Source organism: Homo sapiens, chromosome 3 (assembly GCF_000001405.40).
Source record: "Homo sapiens chromosome 3, GRCh38.p14 Primary Assembly".
NCBI classification, from domain to species: domain Eukaryota; kingdom Metazoa; phylum Chordata; class Mammalia; order Primates; family Hominidae; genus Homo; species Homo sapiens.
In genome coordinates this window covers 13,422,677-13,450,208 of record NC_000003.12, presented here as the reverse complement: position 1 = coordinate 13,450,208, position 27,532 = coordinate 13,422,677, and positions in this window count along the sequence as shown.

The window sequence follows — 27,532 nt, the reverse complement described above, 5'->3', positions numbered from 1 at the left end:
TTCTTTTTTTTGAGACGGAGCCTCGCTCTGTCGCCCAGGCTGGAGTGCAGTGGCGCGATCTAGGTTCACTGCAATCTCCACCTCCCGGGTTCACGCCATTCTCCTTCCTCAGCCTCCTAAGTAGCTGGAACTACAGGTGCCCGCCACACCTGGCTAATTTATTTTATTTTATTTTATTTTATTTTATTTTATTTTTAGTAGAGACAAGGTTTCACCGTGTTAGCCAGGATGTCACCCATGTAATTTTCATAGTGAATATCTGCTCAAATCTGTTGTGCATTTTTCATTTTTTACTTTTTTATTTTTATTTTTTAGAGACAGAGTCTCCCTCTATCACCCAGTCTAGAGTGCAGTGGTGTGATCGTGGCTTACTGTAACCTCGACTTCCTGGGCTCAGGTGATCCTCCCGCCTAAGCCTCAGAAGTAGCTAGGAATACAGACATGCACCATTACACCTGGCTAATTTTTTTGTTTGTTTGTTTTTGGTAGAGACAAGAGTCTCATCATGTTGCCCAGACTGGCCTCCTAGTCCTGGGCTCAAGCAGTCCTCCTGCCTTGGCCTCCCAAAGTGCTGGGATTACAGCATTAGCCATACACCTAGCGTGTTGTGCATTTTTAAATTCGATTTTTAAAATTGAGTTTTGAGAGTTCTTTATATATTCTGGATATAAGTTCTTTATCAGGTGTATTATTTGCAAGTATTTTCTCCAGTCTATTTGTCTTTTTATTCTTTTATCAGTGTTTTCAAAAGAGCAGAAATGTTAAATATTGGTAAAGTTCATTTTATCCCATTTTTCTTGCGTGGTTTTGTGACTTAGAAGGCCAGGCACGGTGGCTCAGGCCTGTAATTCCAGCACTTTGGGAGGTGGAGGCGGAGGCGGGAGGACCACCCTGAGGTCAGGAGTTTGAGACCGGCCTGGCCAACGTGGCAGAAACCCCGTCTCTACTAAAACTACAAAAATTAGCCGGGCATGGTGGTGTGCGCCTGTAATCGCAGCTACTCAGGAGGCTGAGGCAGGAGAATTGCTTGAACCTGAGAGGCGGAGGTTGCAGTGAGCCAAGATCACACAACTGCACTCTGGCCTGGGCGACAGAGTGAGACTCCATCTCTAAATAAATAAATAAATAAAATAAAATTTTTAAAAAGGAAGAAATCTCTGCCTACTGCAAGCTCACAAAGGTATTTTCCTTGCTTTCTTATGGAAGATTCATGGTCTCAGCTATTATATATCTCAAATTATTTTTTATGTGTGGATCTGGTTATCCAGTTGTTGTAGGACACTCATTGAAAAGCCTTTATTTCCCAATTGAATCATCTTGTCATCCTTATCAAAAATCATTTGACTGTATGTAAGGGTCTATTGTCTGACTCTAATTTGTTCTGTAGATCTATTTGTCTGTTTTTTGTTTTTTTTTTTTTTCCAAGACAGAGTTTTGCTCTTGTTGCCCAGGCTGGAGTGCAATGGTGTGATCTCTGCTCACTGAAACCTCCACCTGCCGAGTTCAGGCGATTCTTCTGCTGCAACCTCTCAAGTAGCTGGGATTACAGGCGCCTACCGCTATGCCCAGCTAATTTTTTTGTATTTGGTAGAGACAGGGTTTCACCATGTTGGCCAGGCTGGTCTCGAACTCTTGACCTCAGGAAAGTAAGTCCTCCAAATTTATTGTTTTTCAAAATTGTTCTGGCTATTCTAGACTCTGCATTTTCAAATAAATTTTAGGGCCAGGCACGGTGGTTTATGCCAGTAATTTCAGCACTTTGGGAGGCCAAGGCAGGGGATTGCTTGAGCCCAGGAGTTGAGACCAGCCTGGGCAACATGGTGAAGCCCCGTTTCTACCCAAAATAGAAAAAAATTAGCCAGGCAGTAGTGGTGTGCATCTATAGTCCCAGCTACTTGGGAGGCTGAGGCGGGAGGATCATTTGAGCCTAGAAGGTCAAGGCTGCAGTGACCCATGATCATGCCACTGCACTCCAGCCTCAGCAACAGTGAGACCTTGTCTCCAACAAACAAACAAAAATTTAGGATCAGCTTGCCAATTTCTGCTAAATAGCCTGCTGGGGTTTTAAATTGAATTTCTGCTGAAACTATAGGTGAATTTGGGGAAAATGAACATCTTAAAAATATTTAGTCCAGTCCGGGCGTCATGGCTCATGCCTGTAATCCCAGCACTTTGGGAGGCCAAGGTAGGTGGATCACCTGAGGTTGGAAGTTCAAGACTAGCCTCACCAACATGGAGAAACCCTGTCTCTGCTAAAAAAAAAATACAAAATTAGCTGGGTGTGGTGGTGCCTGCCTGTAATCCCAGCTATCCGGGAGGCTGAGGCAGGAGAATCGCTTGAACCCGGGAGGTAGAGATTGCGGTGAGCTGAGATCGCGCCATTGCATTCCAGCCTGGGCAACAAGAGTGAAACTCTATCTCAAAAAAAAAAAAAAATTTAGTCCTCTTGAGAGGTGACAGCGTGCTGGCAGTCCTCACAGCCCTCGCTCGCTCTCGGCGCCTCCCCTGCCTGGGCTCCCACTTTGGTGGCATTTGAGGAGCCCTTCAGCCCCCCACTGCCCTGTGGGAGCCCCTTTCTGGGCTGGCCAAGGCTGGAGCCCACTCCCTCAGCTTGCAGGGAGGTGTGGAGGGAGAGGCACGAGCGGGAACCGGGGCTGCGTGCGGCGCTTGCGGGCCAGCTGGAGTTCCGGGTGGGTGTGGGCTTGGTGGGCCCCGCACTTGGAGCAGCCAGCCAGCCCTGCTGGCCCCGGGTAATGAGGGACTTAGCACCCGGGCCAGTGGCTGCGGAGGGTGTACTGGGTCCCCCAGCAGTGCCGGCCCACCGGCACTGCGCTCGATTTCTCACTGAGCCTTAGCTGCCTTCCCGCAGGGCAGGGTTCGGGACCTGCAGCCCGCCATGCCTGAGCCTCCCACCCACTCCATGGGCTCCTGTGTGGCCCGAGCCTCCCCGACGAGCACCACCCCCTGCTCCACAGCGCCCAGTCCCATCGACCACCCAAGGGCTGAGGAATGCGAGCGCACGGCGCAGGACTGGCAGGCAGCTCCACCTGCAGCCCCAGTGCGGGATCCACTAGGTGAAGCCAGCTGGGCTCCTGAGTCTGGTGGGGCCATGGAGAACCTTTATGTCTAGCTCAGGGATTGTAAATACACCAATCAGCACCCTGTGTTTAGCTCGTTTGTGAATGCACCAATCGACACTCTGTATCTAGCTGCTCTGGTGAGGACGTGGAGAACCTTTATGTCTAGCTCAAGAATTGTAAATACACCAGTTGGCACTCTGTATCTAGCTCAAGGTTTGTAAACACACCAATCAGCACCCTGTGTCTAGCTCAAGGGTTGTGAATGCACCAATTGACACTCTGTATCTAGCTGCTCTGGTGGGGCCTTGGAGAACCTGTGTGTGGAAACTCTGTATCTAACTAATCTGATGGGGACGTGGAAAACCTTTGTATCTAGCTCAGGGATTGTAAACGCACCAATCAGCGCCCTGACAAAACAGGCCACTCGGCTCTACCAATCAGCAGGATGTGGGTGGGGCCAGATAAGAGAATAAAAGCAGGCTGCCCGAGCTAGCATTGGCAACCCGCTTGGGTCCCCTTCCACACTGTGGAAGCTTTGTTCTTTCACTCTTTGCAATAAATCTTGCTACTGCTCACTCTTTGGGTCCACCCTGCTTTTATGAGCTGTAACACTCACCGCGAAGATCTGCAGCTTCACTCCTGCGTCCAGCAAGACCATGAGCCTACCAGGAGGAACGAACAACTCCAGACGCGCTGCCTTAAGAACTGTAACACTCACTGCGAAGGTCTGCAGCTTCACTCCTGAGCCAGCGAGACCACGAACCCACCAGAAGGAAGAAACTCCAAACACATCTGAACATCAGAAGGGACAGACTCCAGACGCGCCACCTTAAGAGCTGTAACACTCACCGCGAGGGTCCGCGGCTTCATTCTTGAAGTCAGTGAGACCAAGAACCTACCAATTCCGGACACACTCTCATCCATGAACGTAGTGTATCTCCACATTTATTTAAATATTCTTTAGGTCGGGTGCGGTGGCTCAAACCTGTAATCCCAGCACTTTGGGAGGCCGAGGTAGGCAGGTCATGAGGTCAGGAGATTGAGACCATCCTGGCTAACATGGTGAAACCCCGTCTCTACTAAAAATACAAAAAAAAATTAGCTGGGCATGGAGGCGGGCACCTGTGGTCCCAGCTACTCGGGAGGCTGAGGCAGGAGAATGGCGTGAACCTGGGAGGCGGAGCTTGCAGTGAGCCGAGATTGTGCCACTGCACTACAGCCTGGGTGGCAGAGTGAGACTCTGTCTCAAAAACAACAAAAAACAAAACCAAAAAACAAAATAAATATTCTTTAATTTCTGTCAGCACTGTTTTGTAGTTTTCAGTGTAGAAATTATGCATTTATTCATTAAAAGCTGATTTTTTTATGCCATTACCAATGGTGTCTTATATTTTTCCAGTTGCATGTTGCTAGTATATATAAATATGATTTTTTGTTATATTGATCTTGTAGCCTGCAGCCTTGCTAAGTTCACTTATTAGTTCTTGTATGTTTTGTCTTTTTTTAAAATAAAATTCTCTGAGGTTTTCTATACATAGTATCATCTTGCCTGCAGATAGAAACATTTTTATTGCTTCCTTTCCAATGTGTGTTTTTTTTTTCTTACCTTGTACCACTGGCTGAAACTTTCAGTACAATGTTGAACAGAAGTAGTAAGATTAGATTTCCTTGCTTTATTGCTGATGCAAGGGAAAGATTTCAATGTTTCACTAGTAGGCATGCAGTTAATTATATCTCATGGATGCACTTTATTAGATTGTGGAGATTCTCATTGCCTTGAAAGTTGTTAGTATGAGTGGGTGTTGATGGCCTCAAATGTTTGTCTCTCTCAATGAGATGGTCATATGATTTCTCCTTTTATCTTGTTAATGTGATGATATATATTGATTGAGGTTTTTTTTGTTTTTTTTTTTTGAGATGGAGTCTCGCTCTGTCACCCAGGCTGGAGGGCAGTGGCCCGATCTCAGCTCACTGCAACCTCCACCTCCTGGATTCAAGCAATTCTCCTGTCTCACTTCCAAGTAGCTGGGACTACAGGCACATGCCACCTCACCTGGCTAATTTTTGTATTTTTAGTAGAGATGGTGTTTTGCTATATTGGTCAGGCTAGTCTTGAACTCCTGACCTCAGGTGATCCACCTGCCTCGGCCTCCCAAAATGCTGAGATTACAGGCATGAGCCACTGTGCCCAGCTATATTGATTGAGTTTTAAATGATAAACCATTTTGCATTCCTGGGATAAGCCCTACTTGGTCATAATATATTCTTTTTTTTTTTTTTTTTTTTTTTTTTGAGACAGACTCGCACTCTGTCACTCAGGCTGGAGTTCAGTAGCACGATCTCGGCTCACTGCAACCTCTGCCTCTCGGGTTCAAGCAATTCTCGTGCTTCCGCCTCCTGAGTAGCTGGGATTACAGGTACCCACCAACATGCTCAGCTAATTTTTGTATTTTTAGTAGAGACAGGGTTTCACCATGTTGGCCAGGCTGGTCTCGAACTCCTAACCTCAAGTGATCTGCCTGCCTCGGCCTCCCAAAGTGCTGGGATTACAGGCGCGAGCCACCACACCAGGCCCATGATGTATTATATTCTTATATTACTGGATTCTGTCTCCTAATATTTTGTTAAACATTGTTATGTTCAAGAGGGATATTGATTTGTATTTTTCCATTCTTGTAATGTCTTTGTCAACATTTGGTATCAGGGTTCTGCTGGTCCATTAAAAAGTAGAGAAAGCCAGGCATGGTGGCATATGCCTGTAGTCTCATCTACTAGGGAGGCTGAGGCAAGAGGAGTGCTTGAGCTCAGGAGTTAGAGGCCAGGCTGGGCAACATAGTGAGATCCTGTCTCTTAAAAAAAAAAAAAAAAAAAAAAGAATAGAGGAACATGTCCACCTCCTCTATGCTCTGAAAAGGATTGTGTAAGTTTGTATTATTTCTTCCATAAATGTGTGATAGAACTCCCCAGAGATGCTATCTTGACCTGGAGTTTTCTTTGTGGCAAAATATTTTATCATAAATTTATTTTTTACAAATAAAGAACTATTGATATTTTAAATTCCTTTTTGTGTCTATTTTGTTAAGTTATGTTTTTTGTTTTTTTTTTGAGATGGAGTCTGGCTCTGTCACCCAGACTAGAGTGCAGTGGCACAATCTCGGCTCACTGCAAGCTCTGCCTCCCAGGTTCACACCATTCTCCTGTCTCAGCCTCCCGAGTAGCTGGGACTACAGGTGCCCGCCACCACTCCCGGCTAATTTTTTTTGTATTTTTAGTAGAGAGGGGGTTTCACCATGTTAGCCAGGATGGTCTCGATCTCCTGACCTTGTGATACACCCACCTCGGCCTCCCAAAGTGCTGGGAATACAGGCATGAGCCACCGGCGCCCGGCCTGTTATATTTTTAAAAGTATGTGTTAATTTCATCTAGGTAGCCAAATTGTTAGCATAAAGTTAGTTGTTCACAATACTGAAGATTTTAATACCTCCCTTCAATAGATAAAAAAGTACATGAAACATTAGGAAGCATATATTAATAGACTATTTAAAAAACGCTATCAAGAATCTTGTCCTAATTGATATTTGTAGACTATTACACTGAACAGTTGTAGAATACACATTATTTTCAGTTGATCATAAAATATTTACTACACAGAAGAGCACATGCTGGATTATAAAACACATCTCAAAAATTGCATTAAATTAGACAATAATAAAAAATACACTCTGTGATGGTTAATACTGAGTGTCAACTTGATTGAAGAATGCAAAGTATTGCTCCTGGGTGTGTCTGTGAGGGTGTTGCCAAAGGAGATTAACCATTTGAGTCAGGGGGCTGGGAAAGGCAGACCCACCCTTAATCTGGGTGGACACCATCTAATCAGCTGCCAGCACAGCTAGAATATAAGGCAGGCAGAAAAATGTGAAAAGACTAGACTGGCCTAGCCTCCCAGGCTACATCTTTCTCCCATGCTGGATCCTTCCTGCCCTCGAACATCAGACTCCAAGTTCTTCAGTTTTGGGACTCAGACTGGCTCTCCTTGCTTATCAGCTTGCAGACAGCCCACTGTGGGACCTTATGATTGTGTGAGTTAAAACTTAATAAACTCCCGTTTATGTATATGTCTATCCTATTAGTTCTGTCCCTCTAGAGAACACTGACTAATACACACTATCCTTCACACCCATTAGGATGGCTACTATTTTTTAATTTGTATTTATGTATTTATTTATTTATTTATTTATTTTTATTTTTTGAGACAGAGTCTCACTCTGTCACCCAGGCTGGAGTGCAGTGGCACGATCTCAGCTTACTGCGACCTCCACCTCCCAGGTTCAAGCAAATTTCCTGCCTCAGCCTCTCAAGTAGCTGGGATTACAGGCACACACCACCACGCCCAGCTTATTTTTTGTATTTTTGGTGGAGACAGGGTTTCACTATGTTGGTCTGGCTGGTCTTGAACTCCTGACCTCAAATGATGCACCTGCCTTGGCCTCCCAAAGTGCTGGGATTACAGGCATGAACCACCATGCTCGGCCCAACTACTATTTTTTTTTTTTAAAGAACAAACAAGTAAAAGAACAAAAAGAAAATAACAAGTAATGATGAGGATGAGGAGAAATTGGAACACTTTTCATTGTTGGTGGGAATGTAAAATGGCACAGCTGCTGTGGAAAGCAGTATAGTGGTTCCTGAAAAAGTTAAAGATAGAATTACCATAGCAATCTCACTTCTGGGTATATACTCAAAAGAATGGAAAGCAGGGTCCCTAAGAGATATCTGTATACCCATGTTCATAGCAGTATTATTCACAAGAGCCAAAATATGTAAGCAACCCCAGTGTCCATCAACAAATGAATGGATAAACCAAATGTGGTCTATCCATACAATGGGATATTATTTAGCCTTCAAAAGGAAAAAAATTCTGTCACATGCTACAACATGGATGAAACTTAAGAACATTGTGCTAAGTGAAATAAGCCTGTCACAAAAGGATCAATACTGGATGATTCCACTTACATGAGGTACATAGAGTAGTCACATCCATAGAGACAGAAAAAAGAATACCAGGGGCTGGGAGGCTGGGGGTTGGGGGTTTGTTTTAATGGGTACAGAGTTTCAGTTTGAGAAGATGCAAAGTTCTGGAAATGGATGGCGGTGATGGTTACATAAGAATGTGAATGCACTTAATGCCCTCTTAATGTGAATGCACTCTTAAAAATGTTTAAGGCTGGGCGCAGTGGCTCACGTATGTAATCCCAGCACTTTGGGAGGCCGTGATGGGTGGATCACTTGAGGTCAGGAGTTCGAGACCAGCCTGACCAACGTGGTGAAAGCCTATCTCTACTAAAAATCAAACCAGATACTAAAAATACAAAATTAGCCGAGCGTGGTGGCACATGCCTGTAATCCCAGCTACTCGGGAGGCTGAGGCAGGAGAATCTCTTGAAACTGGGAGGTTGAGGTTGCAGTGAGTCGAGATCGCACCATTGCACTCCAGCCTGGGTGACAAGAGCAAAAACTCTGTCTCAGAAAAAAAAAAAAAAATTAAGATGGGCTGGGCGTGGTGGTGTGCCCCTATAGTCCCAGCTATTCAGGAGGCAGAAGCTGGAGGATCTCTTGAGCCCAGGAATTCAGGGATTTAGGACACTATGATCACACTTGTGACTAGCTATTGCACTTCAGCCTGGGCAACACAGTGAGACTCTATCTCTTAAAAAAAATAAATGGTTAATATGGTAAATTTTGTGTTATCTGTATTTTACCACAATTAAAAAGCTATTCACAAAATCCCCAAAACATTTGAAAACCCACTTATACATAAAAAATGAATAACAAACAAAGTCACAAGGGAAATTTGAAAATATTTTGAACTGAATGGTAGTGTAAACACAGTGTTTCAGAATGTGTGGGAAGTCAAGAAAGCAGTCCTTAGAGGAAATGGATGGCTCTGCTCATGGTGGATTGTATGTGTCAACTTGACTGGGCCACGGGTACACAGACATTTGGTCAAACATCATTCTTGATGTGTCTGTGAGGGTGTTTCTGGATGAGATTAGTATTTCAGCCTATCGAATACATAAAACAGATTGCCCTCACTAATGTAAGTGGGCCGCATCCAATCACCTGAAGACCTGGATAGAATGAAAGGCTGAGCAAGAGCGACTCCTCCTGCCTGTTTCAGCTGGGACCTTGGTCTTCTCCTGTCTTCAGACTGGAACTTGGGTCTCCTGGTTCTCAGACCTTCACACTCAGATTGGAGTCTGAGCACTGAGACTGGCTCTTCTGGGTCTCCAGCTTGCTGACTGCAGATTTTGAGACTTTTCAGCCTCCATAATCAGGTGAACCAATTTACTAAATCTCAGTCTCTCTTTTTATACAGTCACATGTGACTTAATGCAATGCTTCACACATTGTTCAGCAATTTTGTTGCTATGGGAACCTCATAGAGTGTACTTACCCAAACCTGGATGGCAGAGCCTACCATATGAGGCTATGTGCTATGCCCTTTTGCTCCTAGGCTATAAACCTGTAGTGCATGTGGCTGTGCTGAATACTGGAGGCAGCTGTAACACAATGCTAAGTATTTATGTGTCTAAACATAGAAAATGTACAGTAAAAATATGGCATCATCTTAACGGGACCACCATTGTATATGCGGTCCATTGTTGACTGAAATGTCATTATGCAATGCATGACTACACACATCTACACATACATATGGATTCTGTTTCTCTGGAGAACCGTGACTAATACAGCCCTAAACATTTACCTCAGAAAAGATTCAAGGCGCATAATCAACTCTCTAAGCACAGGAAGGAAGTTGGGATTGCTTGGTCAAGGTCTCATGGTGAGTGAGGGAAGGTGCCAGGACTTGTGTGCTGCCACCACCATATGGCTACCTCAGGCTTGCAAAGGACCAGCACTCGGGAGGACAGTGACCAGGCTGACTCTGTGTGGTGCTCTTGAGGGTAGAACTTAAACCAATGGATGAAGAGGAGCTATAGGAAGGGAGATTTTGGACTGACATAGGGCGAAATGAGTGGACAGGCTTGCTGAGCTGCTAATGAATCTTGTCCCTGGAGGTGTTCAACAATGAAGTCAGACGATAACTTTTCTCTACTCCCAGTCAAAACCTATAACTAATTTTATGTTCAGACCAGCTAATTAATGAACACCCTTCAAGAAGCTATCTTGGCTGGGCACGGTGGCTCCTGCCTGTAACCCTAGCACTTTGGGAGGCCGAGTTGGGTGGATCACTTGAGGTCTAGAGTTCGAGACCAGCCTGGCCAACATAGTGAAACCTCGTCTCTACTAAAAATACAAAAATTAGCTGGGCATGGTGGTGGGTGCCTGTAATCCCAGCTACTTGAGAAGTTGAGGCAGGAGAATCACTAGAACCTGGGAGGCAGAGGTTGCAGTGAGCTGAGATGTTGCCATTGCACTCCAGCCTGGGCAACAGAGCAAAAACTCTGTCTTAAAAAAAAAAAAAGCTATCAAGCTATCATGGTCATCCTAATCGGTCATGGTTTTGTTTTTGTTTTTGTTTTTTTTTTACGGTCATTTTTTCATAAACCATACTTTTCTGGTCATGAAACGATGAAGATATTTTAAATAGGAACATGATTCATTTCCCTATTTGCAAAGGAAAAATTAAATGAAAAAAACAGAACCTTCTTGTCCTCAGGAGTCGGGAGAAGGGATTCTTTTTTTTTTTTTTTTGAGATGGAGTTTCACTGTTATTGCCCAGGCTGGAGTGCAATGGTGCAATCTTGGCTCAATGCAACCTCCACCTCCCGGGTTCAAGCGATTCTCCTGCCTCAGCCTACCAAGTAGCTGGGATTACAGGGATGTGCCACCATGCCTGGCTAATTTTGCATTTTTTAGTAGACAGGGTTTCACCATGTTGGTCAGGCTGGTCTCAAACTCCTGACCTCAGGTGATCCACCCGCCTCAGCCTCCCAAAGTACTGGGATCACAGACATGAGCCACCGCACCTGGCCGGAGAGGGGATTTTAACCCAATCTCAGCCCCGCAATACAGGAAAATACATTGTGCCCAAGTTCTGGGTCAGGCTCTATGGGATCATGGGCAGTGTTACTCCACCTTTCCAGGCCTCAGTATCCTCCTCTGGAAGATGGGCATTGTGTTAATAAAAGTGTGCACTTAAACCGGGCACAGTGGCTCACACCTGTAACCCCAGCACTTTGGGAGGCCAAGGCGGGTGGATCACCTGAGGTCAGGAGTTCGAGACCAGCCTGGCCAACATGGTAAAACCCCATCTCTACCAAAAAAAATACAAAAAATTAGCCGGGTGTGGTGGTGTACGCCTGTAATCCCAGCTTCTCGGGAGGCTGAGGTAGGAGAATCGCTTGAACTCAGGAGGCAGAGGTTGCAGTGAGCCAAGATCGCGCCACTGCACTCCAGCCTGGGCGACAGAGAGTGAGACTCCGTCTCAAACAACAACAACAACAAAAAACCCTGCACTTGCCAGGTCTCTTCAAAACACTTTCCCAAATGCTGTATCTTGTGCTCTGGTTCTTGGTGAGGATAAAAGATCACAGATGCAAACAGCATCTGAACAGTCAAATGCTGAACGCATATGGAGGGTGTAATTTTCTTCTGCCTGGGAGGAAAAGAGCCATATCTTTAATTTCAAAGCTTTTCAGGATATCAGCTCTTTTGCATCCAAACGTAGCCCACTTTTGCCGAAAAACACACTCAGTCTGTGACAGGCAAACTTCTCATCCCACCCCAGAGATCAGATTGGAATTTGAGAACATCAAACCCTTCACGGCAGTTCCCGGGACAAGCTTTTTATTTTTATTTTATTTTATTTTTTTGAGACAGATTTTCGCTCTTGTTGCCCTGGCTGGAATGCAATGGCGCAATCTCTGCTCACTGCAACCTCTACCTCTCGGGTTCAAGCGATTCTCCTGCCTCAGCCTCCCGAGTATCCGGGATTATAGGCATGTGCCACCATGCCCGGCTAATTTTGTATTTTTAGTAGAGACGGGGTTTCTCCATGTTGGTCAGGCTGGTCTTGAACTCCTGACCTCAGGTGATCTGCCTGCCTCGGCCTCCCAAAGTGCTGGGATTACAGGTGTGAGCCACTCTGCCCAGCCACAAGGTATTTTTCCTAAAGCTATAGCATTCATGTAAAGTTAGGCGAAAAGCAAGAGCATCCTATTACAAAGTTTTACTATGAATTTAATATGGGTGTCAAAGAAAATTTGGAAAATTTCTCTGACAAAAACAAAAGGAAAAAAAATCCCTAGGTTTACCACCCTAACACAACAACCATTAGCAAGTTGGTTTATTCTCTTTTCAGTAAGTTCCTTTTTTATTACATTTTTAGAATTTACCTTTAGATTTTTTTAAATTATTAGATTTTTGGAACTTAAAAAGATATGGGCCAGGTGCGGTGGCTCACGCCTGTAATCCCATCACTTTGGGAGGCGGAGGTGGGTGAATCAAGAGGTCAGGAGATCAAGACCAGCCTGGCCAAGATGGTGAAACCCTGTCTCTACTAAAAATACAAAATATTAGCTGGGCATGGTGACGGGCACCTGTAATACCAGCTACTGAGGAGGCTGAGGCAGAGAATTGCTTAAACCTGGAAGGCAGAGGTTGCAGTGAGCCGAGATGAGGCCACTGCACTCAAGCCTGGGTGACAGAGCAATACTCCGTCTCAAAAAAAAAAAAGATACGGAAAAATACACGCAATAATAAATTAAACATCTGTAGTCCCCAAACTCAAATTCAGCGACCACTATTATTATGCTTGCTTTGACTTTTTAAATAAATCAATTGATTACAAAGTTGGCTGTAATTACTAATATGCCTTGGTGGGAACCCTTCCTATATAGATAATATATAGGTTCTGCCTGTCAGCTCTCGGCTCTATTCCCAGCCTTCCCTGCTTACCGCAGCATCTATGGGGCTGGAAGTCTCCAAACTACTGACTCCCTTTCCTGCTAGTTTCCAGGAGGCACTAGTGGGAAATTTTAAGGCAGGAGAAAGAGAGAAACTATCTTTTCATCATGGCATCATCTCCAGCAGATTGGTGGTCCTTTTTGCAGCAGCAGCAGCAACAGCAGAAGTGTAGCCTCCTGCGTTCATGGTCGGGGTCAGATCAGTAGGGAGTGTGAGCTCCTGGCTTCAGTCTAGGGGTAGAAGAAGCCTCTTGATGTCTGCATAATAGTTCTTCTTGCCTTTGCTTCCTTCGTTACATACTTTTCTGCTTGAAATAGCTAGAATGACTTCTATTTTCCTGACCAGACACAGATGGATGCAGTACCATTGATTGGCATGCTCCTAAAGTTTATATAAACAGCATGATGCTATATATCATATTGCACATTTCCTTTTGTTTTTTAAAATAAAGTTAATTATAAATTACAAAGATACAGAAAAGTGTTCAGTTTTACAAAAGGTTCAGTGAACACTCATGAAATTACAACTCAGGTTAAGAACCAGAATATTAATGACACCAGAAATCCCAGTATCTCCTTACAATGTGCTTTTTCATGCAACACTATGATTTTCTGATAAAATCTGTCCCCTTGGCTGGAGTGCAGTGGCACGATCTCAGCTCACTGTAGCCTCCACCTCCTGGGCTCAAGCGATCCTCCTGCTTCAGCCTCTCTAGTAGCTGGGACTACAGGTGTGCACCACCACACCTGTAAATATGGGATCTCACTGTGTTGCCCAGGCTGGTCTCAAACTCCTGGGCTCAAGCGATTCTCCTGCCTCAGCCTCTCAAAGTATTGAGATTACAAGCATGAGCTATCACGCCTGGCCTCTTCCTTTTTGTTGTCAAATAATAGTCCATTGTATAACTATACCACATTTTGTTTATCCATTCATTAGTTGATGGACAACTGGGTTGTTTCTGCTTTTTGGCTATTATGAATGCTGCTGCTATGAACATTCATGTACAAGTTTTTGTGTGGATGTATGTTTTTATTTCTTTTTGGTATATGCCTAGGAGTAGAATTGTTGCATTATATAGTAACTCAATGTCTAACTTTCTGAGGAACTACAAAACTGCTTTTCAAAGTAGCTGCACCATTTCACATGTCCACCAAGAGTGTATGAGAGTTCAAAAATAGGATATGGATCCTTGTGAACACTTGAACACTTGTTATTGTCTGTCTTTCTAAAAATTATAGCCACCGTAATGGGTGTGAAGTGGTATTTATTGTGGTTTTGGTTTGCATTTCCCTGATGGCTGATGATGTTGGACACTTTCCATGTGCTTATTGACCATTAGTATGTCTTTTTCAGAAAAACATCCATTCAGATCCTTTGGCTTTTTTTTTTTTTTTTTGAGATGGAATCTCACTCTGTCGCCTAGGCTGGAGTGCAGTGGTGCGATCTCAGCTCACTGCAACCTCTGCCTCTTGGCTTTAAGTGATTCTCCTGCCTCAGCCTCCCGAGTAGCTGGGATTTTTGTATTTGTATTTTGTATTTGTAGCTGGCTAATTTTTGTATTTTTAGTAGAGGCGGGGTTTTGCCATGTTGGCCAGGTTGGCCTTGAACTCCTGACTTCAGGTGATCTGCCTGCCTTGGCCTCCCAAAGTGCTGGGATTATAGGCGTGAGCCACCATGCCCAGCCTTATTTGCCTATTTTTTTTTTTTTTTTTTTTTTGAGATGGAGTTTTGCTCTTGTTGCCCAGTCTGGAGTGCAATGGCATGATCTCGGCTCACTGCAACCTCTCCTTCCCAGGTTGAAGCAATTCTCCTGCCTCAGCCTCCCAAGTAGCTGGGATTACAGGCATGCGCCACCATGCCCGGCTAATTTTGTATTTTTAGTAGAGACAGGGTTTCTCCATGTTGGTCAGGCTGGTCTCGAACTCCCGACCTCAGGTGATCCGCCCGCCTTGGCCTCCCAAAGTGCTGGGACTACAGGTGTGAGCCACTGCGCCCGGCCTCTTTGCCTATTTTTTAATTGGGTTATTGGTATTTTTATTGCCGAGTTGTAACCCAACAACTTTAAAAAAATGAAATATAGAAAAAATGCTTAGAACTGTGCCTGGCGTATGGTAAACACTCAAAACATGAAATATAAAAGACAGAGTGATCACGTGTAGGAAGGGTAGCGTTTCTTGCAACTTTTGTTGCAAGTTACATAAATACATGTGTGAATTGGATTACACATGAATTGTATTTCTTACTCTGGATTGTGCATAGAAAAGTTCAAATCCCATTATTCTAAGAAATGAATTTAGGTGTATTTCTAGGTCATAGAATATGCTCATGTTCAAGTTTACTATGTACAGATCCAAGATCTCTCTCCATAATTCAAAAAGCCAAAAAAACTCTAAACCCGCTTTTCCCATTAGGTTGCAACCAAGTCCTCTGGCAGTGAAAACTGACCTAAAATGAGCTGAGGCTATTTAAAGTCTCTATCCCATTAGTGTGAATATTCATGTCTCATTGCAGAAAAATCAATGTATTGACAATAAGATGCTGCTCCTGAACCCACTAGGAGTGGTAATGTAAAAATAGCACAGGCACCTTTTACCTATCAAGCTCAAAAAAAAAATCTGAAACACATGTAGGAGCTAAGGGAAAACTTCCCTTTCATCCTCTGAAGTTTTGCTGAAAAATAAACTGATAAAAGGCAGACTCGTAGGAGAAATGGCATGCACGTTTATTAACATGCATGGGGGGAAATCACAGACTGATTGCTCCACTGCACCATGGGGTACAGATGCTTATATACCCTTCTTCTTAGGGGAAAGGGAGATGGCAAAGTGTGGATAAGGTTAGGGGGTTAGTATATGATTTTTAAGGGGAATTCAGTGGGCTTGAAGAGTATACAGAGGCCTGGGACAAAGTCTGTTGGGCCTGCAGTGCAGACAATGGTTTGTGACAAGAGTCTGTCTAGCTGTGTCAGAGGTGTTTGAAACAGAGCAACTCCATCTTGAATAGGGGCTGGTTAAAATGAGGCTGAGACCCACTAGGCTGCATTCCCAGATGGTTAGGCATTCTCTGTCACAGGATGAGATAGCAGGTCAGCACAAGATACAGGTCATAAATGTAATGGCCCAAGGGGTTCATCTTGCCTGCTGCCTAGGCTAGACAGAGCCGATTTATCAAGACAGGGGAATTGCAATTGAGAAAGGGTAATTCACGCAAAGCTGGCTGTGCGGGACCGGCGTTCTATTATTACTCAAATCAGTCTCCCTGAGCATTTGGGGAGCAGAGTTTTTAAGGAGAACTTGGTGGGTGGGGAGAAGCCAGTGAGCCAGGAGTGCTGATTGGTCAGAAATCAAATCATAGGGAGTCCGAGCTGTCTTCTTGCGCTCAGTCTGTTCCTGGGTGGGGGCCAGAAGATCAGATGAGCCAGTTTATTGATCTGGGTGGGGACAGCTGATCCATTAAGTGCAGGGTCTGCAAAACATATCAAGCACTGACCTTAGGAGCAGTTTAGGAAGGGTCAGAATCTTGTAGCCTCCAGCTGCATGACTCCTAAACCGTAATTTCTAATCTTGTGGCTAATGTTAGTCCTACAAAGGCAATCTAGTCCCCAAGCAAGGAGGTCTGCTTTGGGAAAGGGCTGTTACTGTCTTTGTTTAAACTATAAACTAAGTTTCTCCCAAAGTTACTTCAGCCTACGCCCAGGAATGAACAAGGACAGCTTGGAAATTAGAAGCAAGATGGAGTCAATTCTTTCACTGTCTCAGTCATAATTTTGCAAAGGCAGTTTCAATCCCTCCCTTTGGGTTTTATAGCACCTTAATCTTAAGGTGTAGGCTATGAAGATGGGAAAAGACCGTCGATGGCTCTGGCTTCTTCCTGCTGACGGGATGTAGTGGGAATGGGAGTGAACCCCAAGGTGAGAAGAATGGAACCCCAAGGTGAGAAGAATGGAACTGTTTTGCAACTGTCTTGAGCGTACTCATGCAGGCCTGGCTGGGCTTCTGAGGCTCGCGTGGCAAAAACATTAGTACTCTCAGCTATAGTTTTACTACAGTGTTTAAGTGAACAGCCTACTATAAGGTAAAATAGTGAGTCCTAGGATAAGGAGTACAATTCCCAATTTTAAAAGCAAAGATTTGAAAGCATTAGTTTGGGGACTTCTAACCCACAAGGAATTTAGAATTTAGTCTAAACTGCGGAAAAAAACCTCAAGAACAGCTAACAACAGTATACTACAGTTTTTCTTTTTTGTTTGTTTGTTTGTTTGTTTGTTTGTTTTGAGACAGAGTCTCACTCTGTTGCCCAGGCTGGAGTGCAGTGGCATGATCTTGGCTCACTGCAAACTCCACATCCAGATTCAAGCAATTTTCTTGCCTCAGCCTCCCAAGTAGCTGGGATTACAGGTGCATGCCACTACGCCTGGCTAATTTTTGTATTTTTAGTAGAGATGGGGTTTGGCCATGTTGGCTGGGCTGGTCTCAAACTCCTGACCTCAGATGATCTGCCTGCCTCACCCTCCCAGAGTGCTGGGATTACAGGCGTGAGCCACTGTGCCTGACCTAGTTTTCTTTCGAAGCATAATTTTTCTCTCTCCAGTCCCCATTTTTATTAAAAACAAATCATGATAGAACTGATTTGTTTACAAAATAAACTTTAGTCTTACTGTACTTGGCCTGATTATTTGCATAAAGTACAGCAAGAATAATTATTTTTCACTTAGGATATTTTAATTGGCTTTGATAGAACTCTGTTCCATGAAGAATCTCAAATAAGACTTTTAAAAGCTGAGCCCAGCCATGGGTTTTTACCCTCAAATACCTATGAGTTGGGCAAACTCCTCTCCTCTTGAGGTCCCAAGATAACTTGGGATTCCTGGGTCTGTTAGAAAGTGACATTGTTTATTTACCACAGGTCAGGAACTTTGTACAGGGACTCTGCGTGGACAAGGTATGAGGCCACATTCCCTAATGGGCTTTAACTGGCTCTATAAGTCAACTTTGATTCTTTAAAGGAAGTATACCATTCCATTCAAAGCCTTGGTAAAATAACCAATTTTTCCAATTGTGTCCTGTTACAAAAGAAAGCAAATTCTTATTGCACTTGTGTAATTAACTATACTGCCATAAATTGAGTATATTCACAAATAGTTCCCAAATTCTGAAGAAATCAAGTAGAGAGGAACAAATATGCTCCAAATTTTGTTCACAGGAGTATATATATATACACATACATATATATATACACACATACATATATATATACACATACATATATATACACATACATATATATATATACATACACACACACACATATATATATATATATATATATATATATTTTTTTTTTTTTTTTTTTTTTTTTTTTGGGAGAGAGTCTTGCTGTGTCCCCCAGGCCGGAATGCAGTGGTGCAATCTCGGCTCACTGCAACCTCTGCCTCCCAGGTTCAAGCGATTCTCCTGCTTCAGCCTCCTGAGTAGCTGGGATTACAGTGCCACCACACCCTGCTACACTCCCACAAGCACCATGACAGTTTACAGATGCCATGGCACATCAGGAAGTTACCCTATATGGTCTAAAAAGGGGAGGAATCCTCAGTTCTGGGAATTGCCCATCCCTTTCCCAGAAAACTATAATCCCAGCACTTTGGGAGGCCAAGGTGGGTGGATCACGAGGTCAGGAGTTGGCGACCAGCCTGGCCAACATGGTGAAACCCCGTCTCTACTAAAAATACAAAAATTAGCCAGATGCGGTGGCAGGTGCCTGTAATCCTAGCTACTCGGCAGCCTGAGGCAGAAGAATTGCTGGAACCCGGGAGGCGGAGTTTGAAGTGAGCCAAGATCACACCACTGCACTCCAGCCTGGGTGACACAGCAAGACTCCGTCTTGAAAAAAAAAAAAAGGGCAACCATAGCCCTCTGGGCTGCTCTGCCTATGGAATAGCTGTTCTTTATTCCCTTACTTTCTTTTTTTTTTTTTTTTTTTTTTGAGACGAAATCTCACTCTGTTGCCCAGGCTGGAGTGTAGTGGTGTCGTCTTAGCTCACTGCAACCTCCACCTCCCAGGTTCAAGTGATTCTCCAGCCTCAGCCTCCTGAGTAACTGGGATTACAGGCATGCACCACCATGCCTGGCTAATTTTTGTATTTTTAGCAGAGACAGAGTTTCACCATGTTGGTCAGGCTGGTCTTGAACTCCTGACCTCGTGATCCACCCACCTCGGGCTTCCAAAATGCTGGGATTACAGGTGTGAGCCACCACTCCTGGCCTCCTTTACTTTCTTAATAAACTTGCTTTCACTTTATGGACTTGCCCCAAGTTCTTTTCTTGCATGAAATCCAAGAACCCTCTCTTGGGGTCTGGATCCAGACTCCTTTCCATAACAGGTGTGTTTGTCAGAGGCATGTGAACCAGAGCAACTCCTTCTTGAATATGACCTGGGTAAAATGAGGCTGAGACTTACTGGGTTGCATTCCCAGATAGTTAAGGCATTCTAAATCACAGGATGAGATAGGAGGTCGGCACAAGACACAGGTCATAAAGACCTTGCTGATGAAACAGTTTGCAGTAAAGAAACCGGCTAAAATCCACCCAAACCAAGATGGTGATGAGAGTGACCTCTGGTCATCCTCACTGCTACACTCCCATCAGCACCATGACAGTTTACAAATGCCATGGCAATGTCAGGAATTTACCCTATATGGTCTAAGAAGGGGAGACATGAGTAATCCACCCATTGTTTAGCCTGTCATCAAGAAATAATCATAAAAATGGGCAACCAGCAGCCCTCAGGGCTGCTCTGTCCATGGAGTAGCCATTCTTTTATTTCTTTACTTTCCTAATAAACTTGCTTTCACTTTATGGATTTGCCCTGAATTCTTTCTTGTGTGAGATCCAGTAACCCTATCTTGGGGTCTGGATCGGGACCCCTTTCCTGTAACATGTTGACAGACTTTGGTTTTTCTTCCTGCAATATGGGTTCAGTTAATGAAAAAATGGCAAGGGACTGGAGATAATTGTTTTCTTCTTTGGCAGGTCCAGACTTTAGACAGATAAGGGAACTTCAGAGAACAACTTCATGCTGTGCTTTGGGACAGACAGGAGTGGGAGAAAGGTCAGCGAGACCTTGAGGCTGCTTCTTCAGCTGAGTACTTCAAAGCTCCATATTTTGGGGTATCGGTTGCTGAGTCCCAACAAACATCTGCTCTCAAAGATTTTCAGTCAAGGCTTGCAGACGTATGTAGCAAAAGGCTGTCCAGATTGGCTGGACTCAGCCGGGTGTGGTGGCTCTTGCCTGTAATCCCAGCATTTTGGGAGGCTGAGATGGGTGGATCACCTGAGGTCAGGAGTTCAAGACCAGCCAGGCCAACATGGTAAAACACTATCTCTGCTAAAAATACAAAAATTAGCCGGCCGTAATGGCAGGTGCCTGTAATCCTAGCTACTCCAGAGGCTGAGACAGGAGAATCACTTGAACCCAGGAGGCAGAGGTTGCAGGGAGCCGAGATCCTGCCATTGCAGTCCAGCCTGGGTGACAAGAGTGAAACTCTGTTTCCAAAACAAAACAACAACAACAAAAAAAAACCACACACACACAAACAAATTGGCTGGACTAATTTATGCTTCTACCAGCGACATGAGAGAGTTCATTTTCCTCCATCTTTGCCCAGACTTGATGTTGTAAGACTTGAAAGAAAAGTTTTGCCAATCTGATGAGTGAGAAAAGACAGCTTGTTGCTGTTTTAATTTGCATTTCCCTGGTTACTGAGAAGGATGAGCAGGTTTTCACATGTGTGTTGACCATCCGAATGTCCTCTTCTGGGAATTGTCTGTATGTATGTCTACCCATCTTTTCATTCTTATTTCTCCCTTTCTCAATACACAGAGAAGTACTCAGGGCCCACAGTGTAAAAATGGCAAGAAAAGGTTTCTCTCCTCTCCCCAACTAATTAAAATTTAAGCTCACGGCTGGGTGCCGTGGCTCATGCCTGTAATCCCAGCACTTTGGGAGGCCGAGGTGGATGGATCCCTGAGGTGAGGAGTTTGAGACCAGCCTGGCCAACATGGTGAAACCCCGTCTCTGCTAAAATACAAAAATTAGCCAGACGTGGTGGCGCATGCCTGTAATCCCAGTTACTCAGGAGGCTGAGGCAGGAGAATTGCTTCAACCCGGGAGGTGGAGGTTGCAGTGAGCTGAGATTTCACCACTACACTCCAGTCTGGGTGACAGAGTGAGATCCTGTCTCAAAAAAAAAAAAAAAAAAGTTAAGCTCATACAATTTCTAAAGAATGCAAAACCCCCAAACCTAAATTACTCAGCCAAGACAGGTTATGACTTAAAAGATATTACAGACCAGGTGCGGTGGCTCACGCCTGTAATCTCAGGACTTTGGGTGGCTGAAGCAGGTGGATCAGAGTTCGAGACTAGCCTAACCAACATGGTGAAACCCTGTCTCTACTAAAATACAAAAAATTAGCTGGGCATGTGGCAGATGCCTGTAGTCCCAGCTACTCAGGAGGCTGAGGCTGGAGAATCGCTTGAACCCAGGAGGCAGAGGTTGCAGTGAGCCAAAATGGCACCACTGCACTCCAGCCTGGGTGACACAGTGAGACTCTGTCTCAAAAAAGAAAAAACAAAAAAAAACACATTACAGTTTAACACAGTCTAATGTGTAAGCATTGAGATATTGTCAACCATTTAGCTGAATTTCCCTGGCTAATCACTCAAATGATTAACTTAAGCCTACTTAAGTAAGCCTACTTGAAGTAAGCCTGCTCCTCGAGCTGAGAGGAAGACTGGGGCATCTTACAGGAAGTCACCCTCCCTCTGACAAGACAGGAAGACACCTGCCCACTAAGAAGAAGTCTCAGGTGCAGGGCAAACAATCTGAAAGCTGCAAGATCAACAAAAGAAAAATTGTTGCTTCCTCCTGGGTGAATATAATGGAAAATTATGGAAAACCTAAATTCCTATTTGATCATTGTGTTGGCGAGGCTGTGGGTGAAATGAAAGTTTCCTAACATGTCTTTTGTTGTCTGGGCATGAATTTTTATTTATGTGTCACATACACTCTTGTATACATACTCATTCGGGATGAAAGGACTACACTCAGAAGAATGAAATGAGTAGAATATTCTGGTCTCAATCAGAATAAGTGATTATTTTTATTAGAAGAATCCTTTACTGTTAATAACTTTTTTTATATTAACTGTATCATTTATTTATTTATTTATTTATTTATTTAAAGACGGAGTCTTGCTCTGTCGCACAGCCTGGAGTTCAGTGGTACGAACTCGGCTCACTACAACCTCCACCTCCTGGGTTCAAGCGATCTCTTGCCTCAGCTTCCGGAGTAGCTGGGACTACAGGTGCCTGCCACCACAGCTGGCTAATTTTTGTATTTTTAGTAGAGACAAGGTTTCACCATGTTGTCAGGATGGTCTTGAACTTCTGACCTCAGGTGATCTGCCCGCTTCGGCCTCCCAAAATGCTGGGATTACAGGTGTGAGCCACTGCACCCGGTCTTCCTTTTTAAGACTAAATATTATTCCATTGAATGGATAGGTCACATTTTGTTTATTTATCCATCAATGGATGAATTGCATGGCTTTCACTTTTTGGCTATTGTGAATAATGCTGTTATGAACATGGGTATACGGTTATAGGGCTTTCAGTTGTGTTGCGTATACCCAGAAGTGGGATTGCTGAATCATATGGTAATTCTACATTTAATGTTTTGAGGAAATATACTGTTTTTTATTGTAGCTGCATCCTTTTTTTTTTTTTTTTTTTTTTGAGATGGAGTTTCGCTCTTGTTGCCCAGGCTGGAGTGCAATGGCACGATCTCGGCTCACTGCAACCTCCACTCCCTCCTGAGCAACTGAGCGATTCTCCTGCCTCAGTCTCCTGAGTAGCTGAGATTACAGGCATGCACCACGACACCCGGCTAATCGGCTAATTTTGTATTTTTAGTAGAGACGGGGGTTTCTCCATGTTGGTCAGGCTGGTCTTGAACTCCCGACCTCAGGTGAGCCACCCGCCTCAGCCTCCCAAAGTGCTGGGATTACAGGCATGAACCACCACGCCCAGCCTGTTTTTAGTCTTTATGTAGTTCAATTTATTTTTTTTAACTTTTGTTGCATGGTTGAATTTTAATAACATAAAAACTTTAAAATAAAACTTTTCTTTATTTTTCTTTTTTTTTTTTGAGACAGGGTCTCTGTTGCCCAGGCTGGAGTGCACTGGGGAGATCATAGCTCCCCGCAGCCTAGAACTCCTGAGGTCAAGTGATTCTCCCACCTCAGCCTCCTGAGCAGCTAGGACTACAGTTGTGTGCCACCATGCCCAGCTAAATGTTGAAGTTTTTTTGGTAGAGAGAGAGTCTCACTATGTTGTCCAGGCTATTCTCATCCTCCTGGCCTCAAGCAATCCTCCTGCCTTGGCCTCTAAAATCACTGGGATTACAAGCATGAGTCACTGCACCTGGCCTAAAATAAAACATTTTTTTGAAATTGATCCTTTATTAGCAATGCATTCTACATGGATGTTAATTTACAGAACTCCTAGAACATCTGCCCCCCATATACATCAATTCAGCTCATGTGTTTGTTCCCAGAGTAAGCTTATAACTTTTTGGAATCCTTTGAGCTTGCTTTGGGGAGAGTTGTTTTCTCCAACCCTTATGGTACTATACATTGTTGTGTTTAAACTGTAGATTTCAGATAACCAGTGATGGCATAGTGATTATAAAGACAAATTTGAGTTACTGCTATTCAGCTATTCCATGCTGAATGTAACTAAAAATACATTAATATAATTTTAAAAATATTAAGCCACTAGCTTTTCCTTTTTTGGTTGTAGTATTTTATTTTTATTTAAAAATGTTGCTGGCTTGCTTATCTATAAAAAGTTTAATAAAATGTTATTTTTTTCCTAGAAATTATTATATTTCATTTCATGTTTATTACTGAAAATAATTTTGTCTTATAAAGGAGGAGTGGTTCAAAAACTATCTTCCCTAGGGGGTCCAATTTGCTAGGTATGCTAAGGAGGTCTGAACTACCCAGGTGGGGCCAGGCCAGAGGAGTGAGTCTGGGAGGCAAAGGTCAGAGAGGATGCCTCGGAGGGCCTGGGGACCACAAGCAGGAGTTTGAATTCTCTGTCAAGGCCACCTGGGAGGCTGTGGAGGGCTGGCCCCCTGAGGGGTATGCCATGATCTGTGTTGACCACTCTGGCACCAAGGGGAGCTCAGAAGCAAGAAGAATGTATTAGGCTCACCACAGAAACAGAATAAGAGTGTGGGTGTGTGGGTATGGGTGTGTGTGTATGTGTGTGGCGGGGAGGGGTGGTTGTAGAGATGGAGAGATTATGAGAATTGATTCACATAATTATGAAGGCTAAGAAGTCCCAGAGCCTTCTGTCTACAAGTTGGAGGCCCAAGGAAGCTGGTGATATAATTTGGTCCAAGCCTGAAGGCTTTAGAGCCTGTCAGTCCAAAGACCTGAGAGCCCAGGGTCGGGGTGGGGGGTGCGGTTGTAAGTTCCATAGTCCAAAGCCCTGAGAATCAGGAGCTCCAATATCTAATGGCAGGAGAAGACAGATGTCCCAGCCCAAGTGGACAGTGAATTTGCCTTTCCTACACCTTTGTGTTCTAGTCGGGCCCTTGAGGGATTGGATGTGTCCACTCACATGGGTGAGGGCAGATCTTTACTCAGTCTGATTCAAATGCTAATCTCATCCAGAAACACCCTCACAGACACACCCAGAAACCATGTGTTGCCAGCTATCTGGGCATCCCTTAGCCCAGTCAAGTTCACACACAAATTAACCATCATGAAAAGGGATCATGCTGTTGGTAGTTCTAGAAAGCAAGGAGTAGAGAGCCTGTACTCTTGCAGAGTTGGTGGCCTGGTGATGTCTGAGGACTCCCTTGTGTATCCAGCTAGGTTTGCTGGAATCAGATTGAGGTGGCTGGGATAACACACGTGCGCTTGGACTTCCAAGGCAGGCTGAAGGTGTGACAAGCTGGCTGCCATCACTTATTCTGCAGCCATCATCCTCTAGTGATGCCTGTGGGGAAGGACCCAGGGGCCCACAGGAAGCAAACAATTGCCAATCCTGGCAGAGGCTGAAGGTGGCAAGTGTGAGGAACACATTCTGAGGAAGAGTAAACGCATCCAGAAAATGGGCCCCATGAGCAGGAGGCATGTCTGGGCATTGACTTGAGCAGCAATTTCTGTAATTAAGTGTTGCCATTCTCTTAAGTATGATGGGGTTTTGGAAAGCACTTTGCAAAGGTGGAAGCCATTCCAGTGCTCCTGGTGTTTTACTTCTTTTTTGTTTTGCCCAAAGCCAAGGTTTCCAGCTCAGAGGTGGTGCTGAAGGTCCACAGTGGGTGTCCCTTTCCTCCATTTCCAGAGTCCATGACCAAAGCCTGGGGGCAGACTTGTGAGAGGCGGAAACCCCCATTGCTGCTGCAGTAGGGCCCAGGCTAGTGGGGACTCAGCTTGGGGGTGTCTGAAAACACAAATGTCTACTCCAGAGGTCAAAGGGCAACATTTAAATTCAGGGAGAAAAGGAGAAATGGGGAAGGAAGCCTATAGATTGAAAGAGCCTTAAAAGACATTTCAATCAATTGCAATGTGTGAACTTTACTTATATCCTGATTCTGAAAGTATAAACTGTAAAAAGGTATTATGAATGTATGAGACAGTTGGAAATTTGAACTCTAATAATATTTTATGACCATAAGATTACTGTTAACTTTTTTATGTGTGATAATAGTATTGTGGTTATGTCTATAAAAGGGTCCTTATCTCTTAGCGATACAAACTGAAATACAGACGAAATGACAGGATATCTTGGATTTGTTTCAAAATGAGATAGGGTGGGGCCTGTGGTGACTGCAGAAGCAGCAGAATTGGCTGTGGATTGTGGCCACAGAACTGGACAGTCATGGGGCTTCATTATACCACTGTCTACTCTATGACTCTTTAAGTTTCCCCACTGCAGAATGATTCTTTAAAATTACTGTTTGGGCTGGGCACAGTGGCTCATGGCTGTAATCCCAGCACTTTGGGAGGCCAAGGGGCACAGATCCTTTGAGTCCAGGAGTTCGAGACCAGCCAGGGCAACATGGCGAAACCCTGTCTCTACAAACAAAACAAAACAAAACAAAAAGCAAAAATTAGCTGGATGTGGTGGCACACACCTATAATCCCAGTTACTCAGGAGGTTGAGATGGGAGGATGGCTGGAGCCCAGGAGGTAGAGGCTGTGGTGAGCTGAGATTGCACCACTGCACTCCAGCCTGGGTGACAGAGTGAGAGACCCTGTCTCAAAAATAAATAAATAAATGAAATACAAATAAAAATTACTGTTGTCACAAAAAGATGGTGGGTAGGCTCTAAAAGGACAACGTCCCCCTAGGAAAAAGTTAATTGCCTTGAAAAATCTCTCCATACTTGTATGCCCAAGGAGAAAGGTCAAGATTAGTGTGGTTTGTCCTTCACACTGTCTTGTGTTTGGTTATCTTCCCACTGAAGGCCCTGAGAGCAGGCCTTGGGCTCTCAGCCTTTAGCAAGAAATAGTATCCTGCGGTAATTTGAAGGCATTCTTTTGTTTCGCTGTATTTATTTTATGGCTACTTCTATTATATTTTGCAAACTGATAATGGCTTTTTATTAACAGAAGAGACAAAGTTTGCTTCTTAAGTAAATATATGTAAACACTTTGATTTAAAGACAGGAAATAACAGCACAAGTGGCACTCAGATAGATATTATTTTTTAAAATGTTTTAGGGTGGTAGAAAGTAACAGAAGTTTGGGAGACCCTGATGTGGGTCAGGAGACATTTTCCTATCTGGTTTTAGTTATCAGGTGGGTAACCGGCTCACTCAAATCTGTGGTCTCTTCCAGCCCAGAGGGTCTCTGTGCCAGGACAGAAGGCTGTGCTCAGGCCATTGTCCATGGCTGGCTCCCTGCATCTCAGATAAACACTGACACCCAAAGAAGGGGCCCAATGCCAGGGAGTGGAAACAGCCCACAGAGAAGGTGGGGGTGGCCCCTACACATGGACCCCTGGCTTGGCCCCAAATACCATCTCATACCAGGTTTGTAGGCAAGTGAAATGGGGTCTGGGGGCAAGTTTAAGGACAACGTAAAGGGATAAAATCTCAGATGGAAAATGTTTTACCCATCATTTTGTTGCCTTTTTTTTTTTGAGATGGAGTTTCTTGTTGCACATGCTGTAGTGCAGTGGCTTGATCCCAGCTCACTGCAACCTCCACCTCCCAGGTTCAAGTGATTCTCCTGCCTCAGCCTCCCCAGTAGCTGGGATTACAGATGCATGCCACCATGTCTGGCGACTTTTTGTATTTTTAGTAGAGATAGGGTTTTGCCATGTTGGCCAGGCTGGTCTCAAACTCCTGACCTCAGGTGATCTGCCCACCTTGGCCTCCCAAAGTGCTGGGATTACAGGTGACAGCCACCGCACCCGGCCCATTTTGTTGTCTTCCATGGATTGTT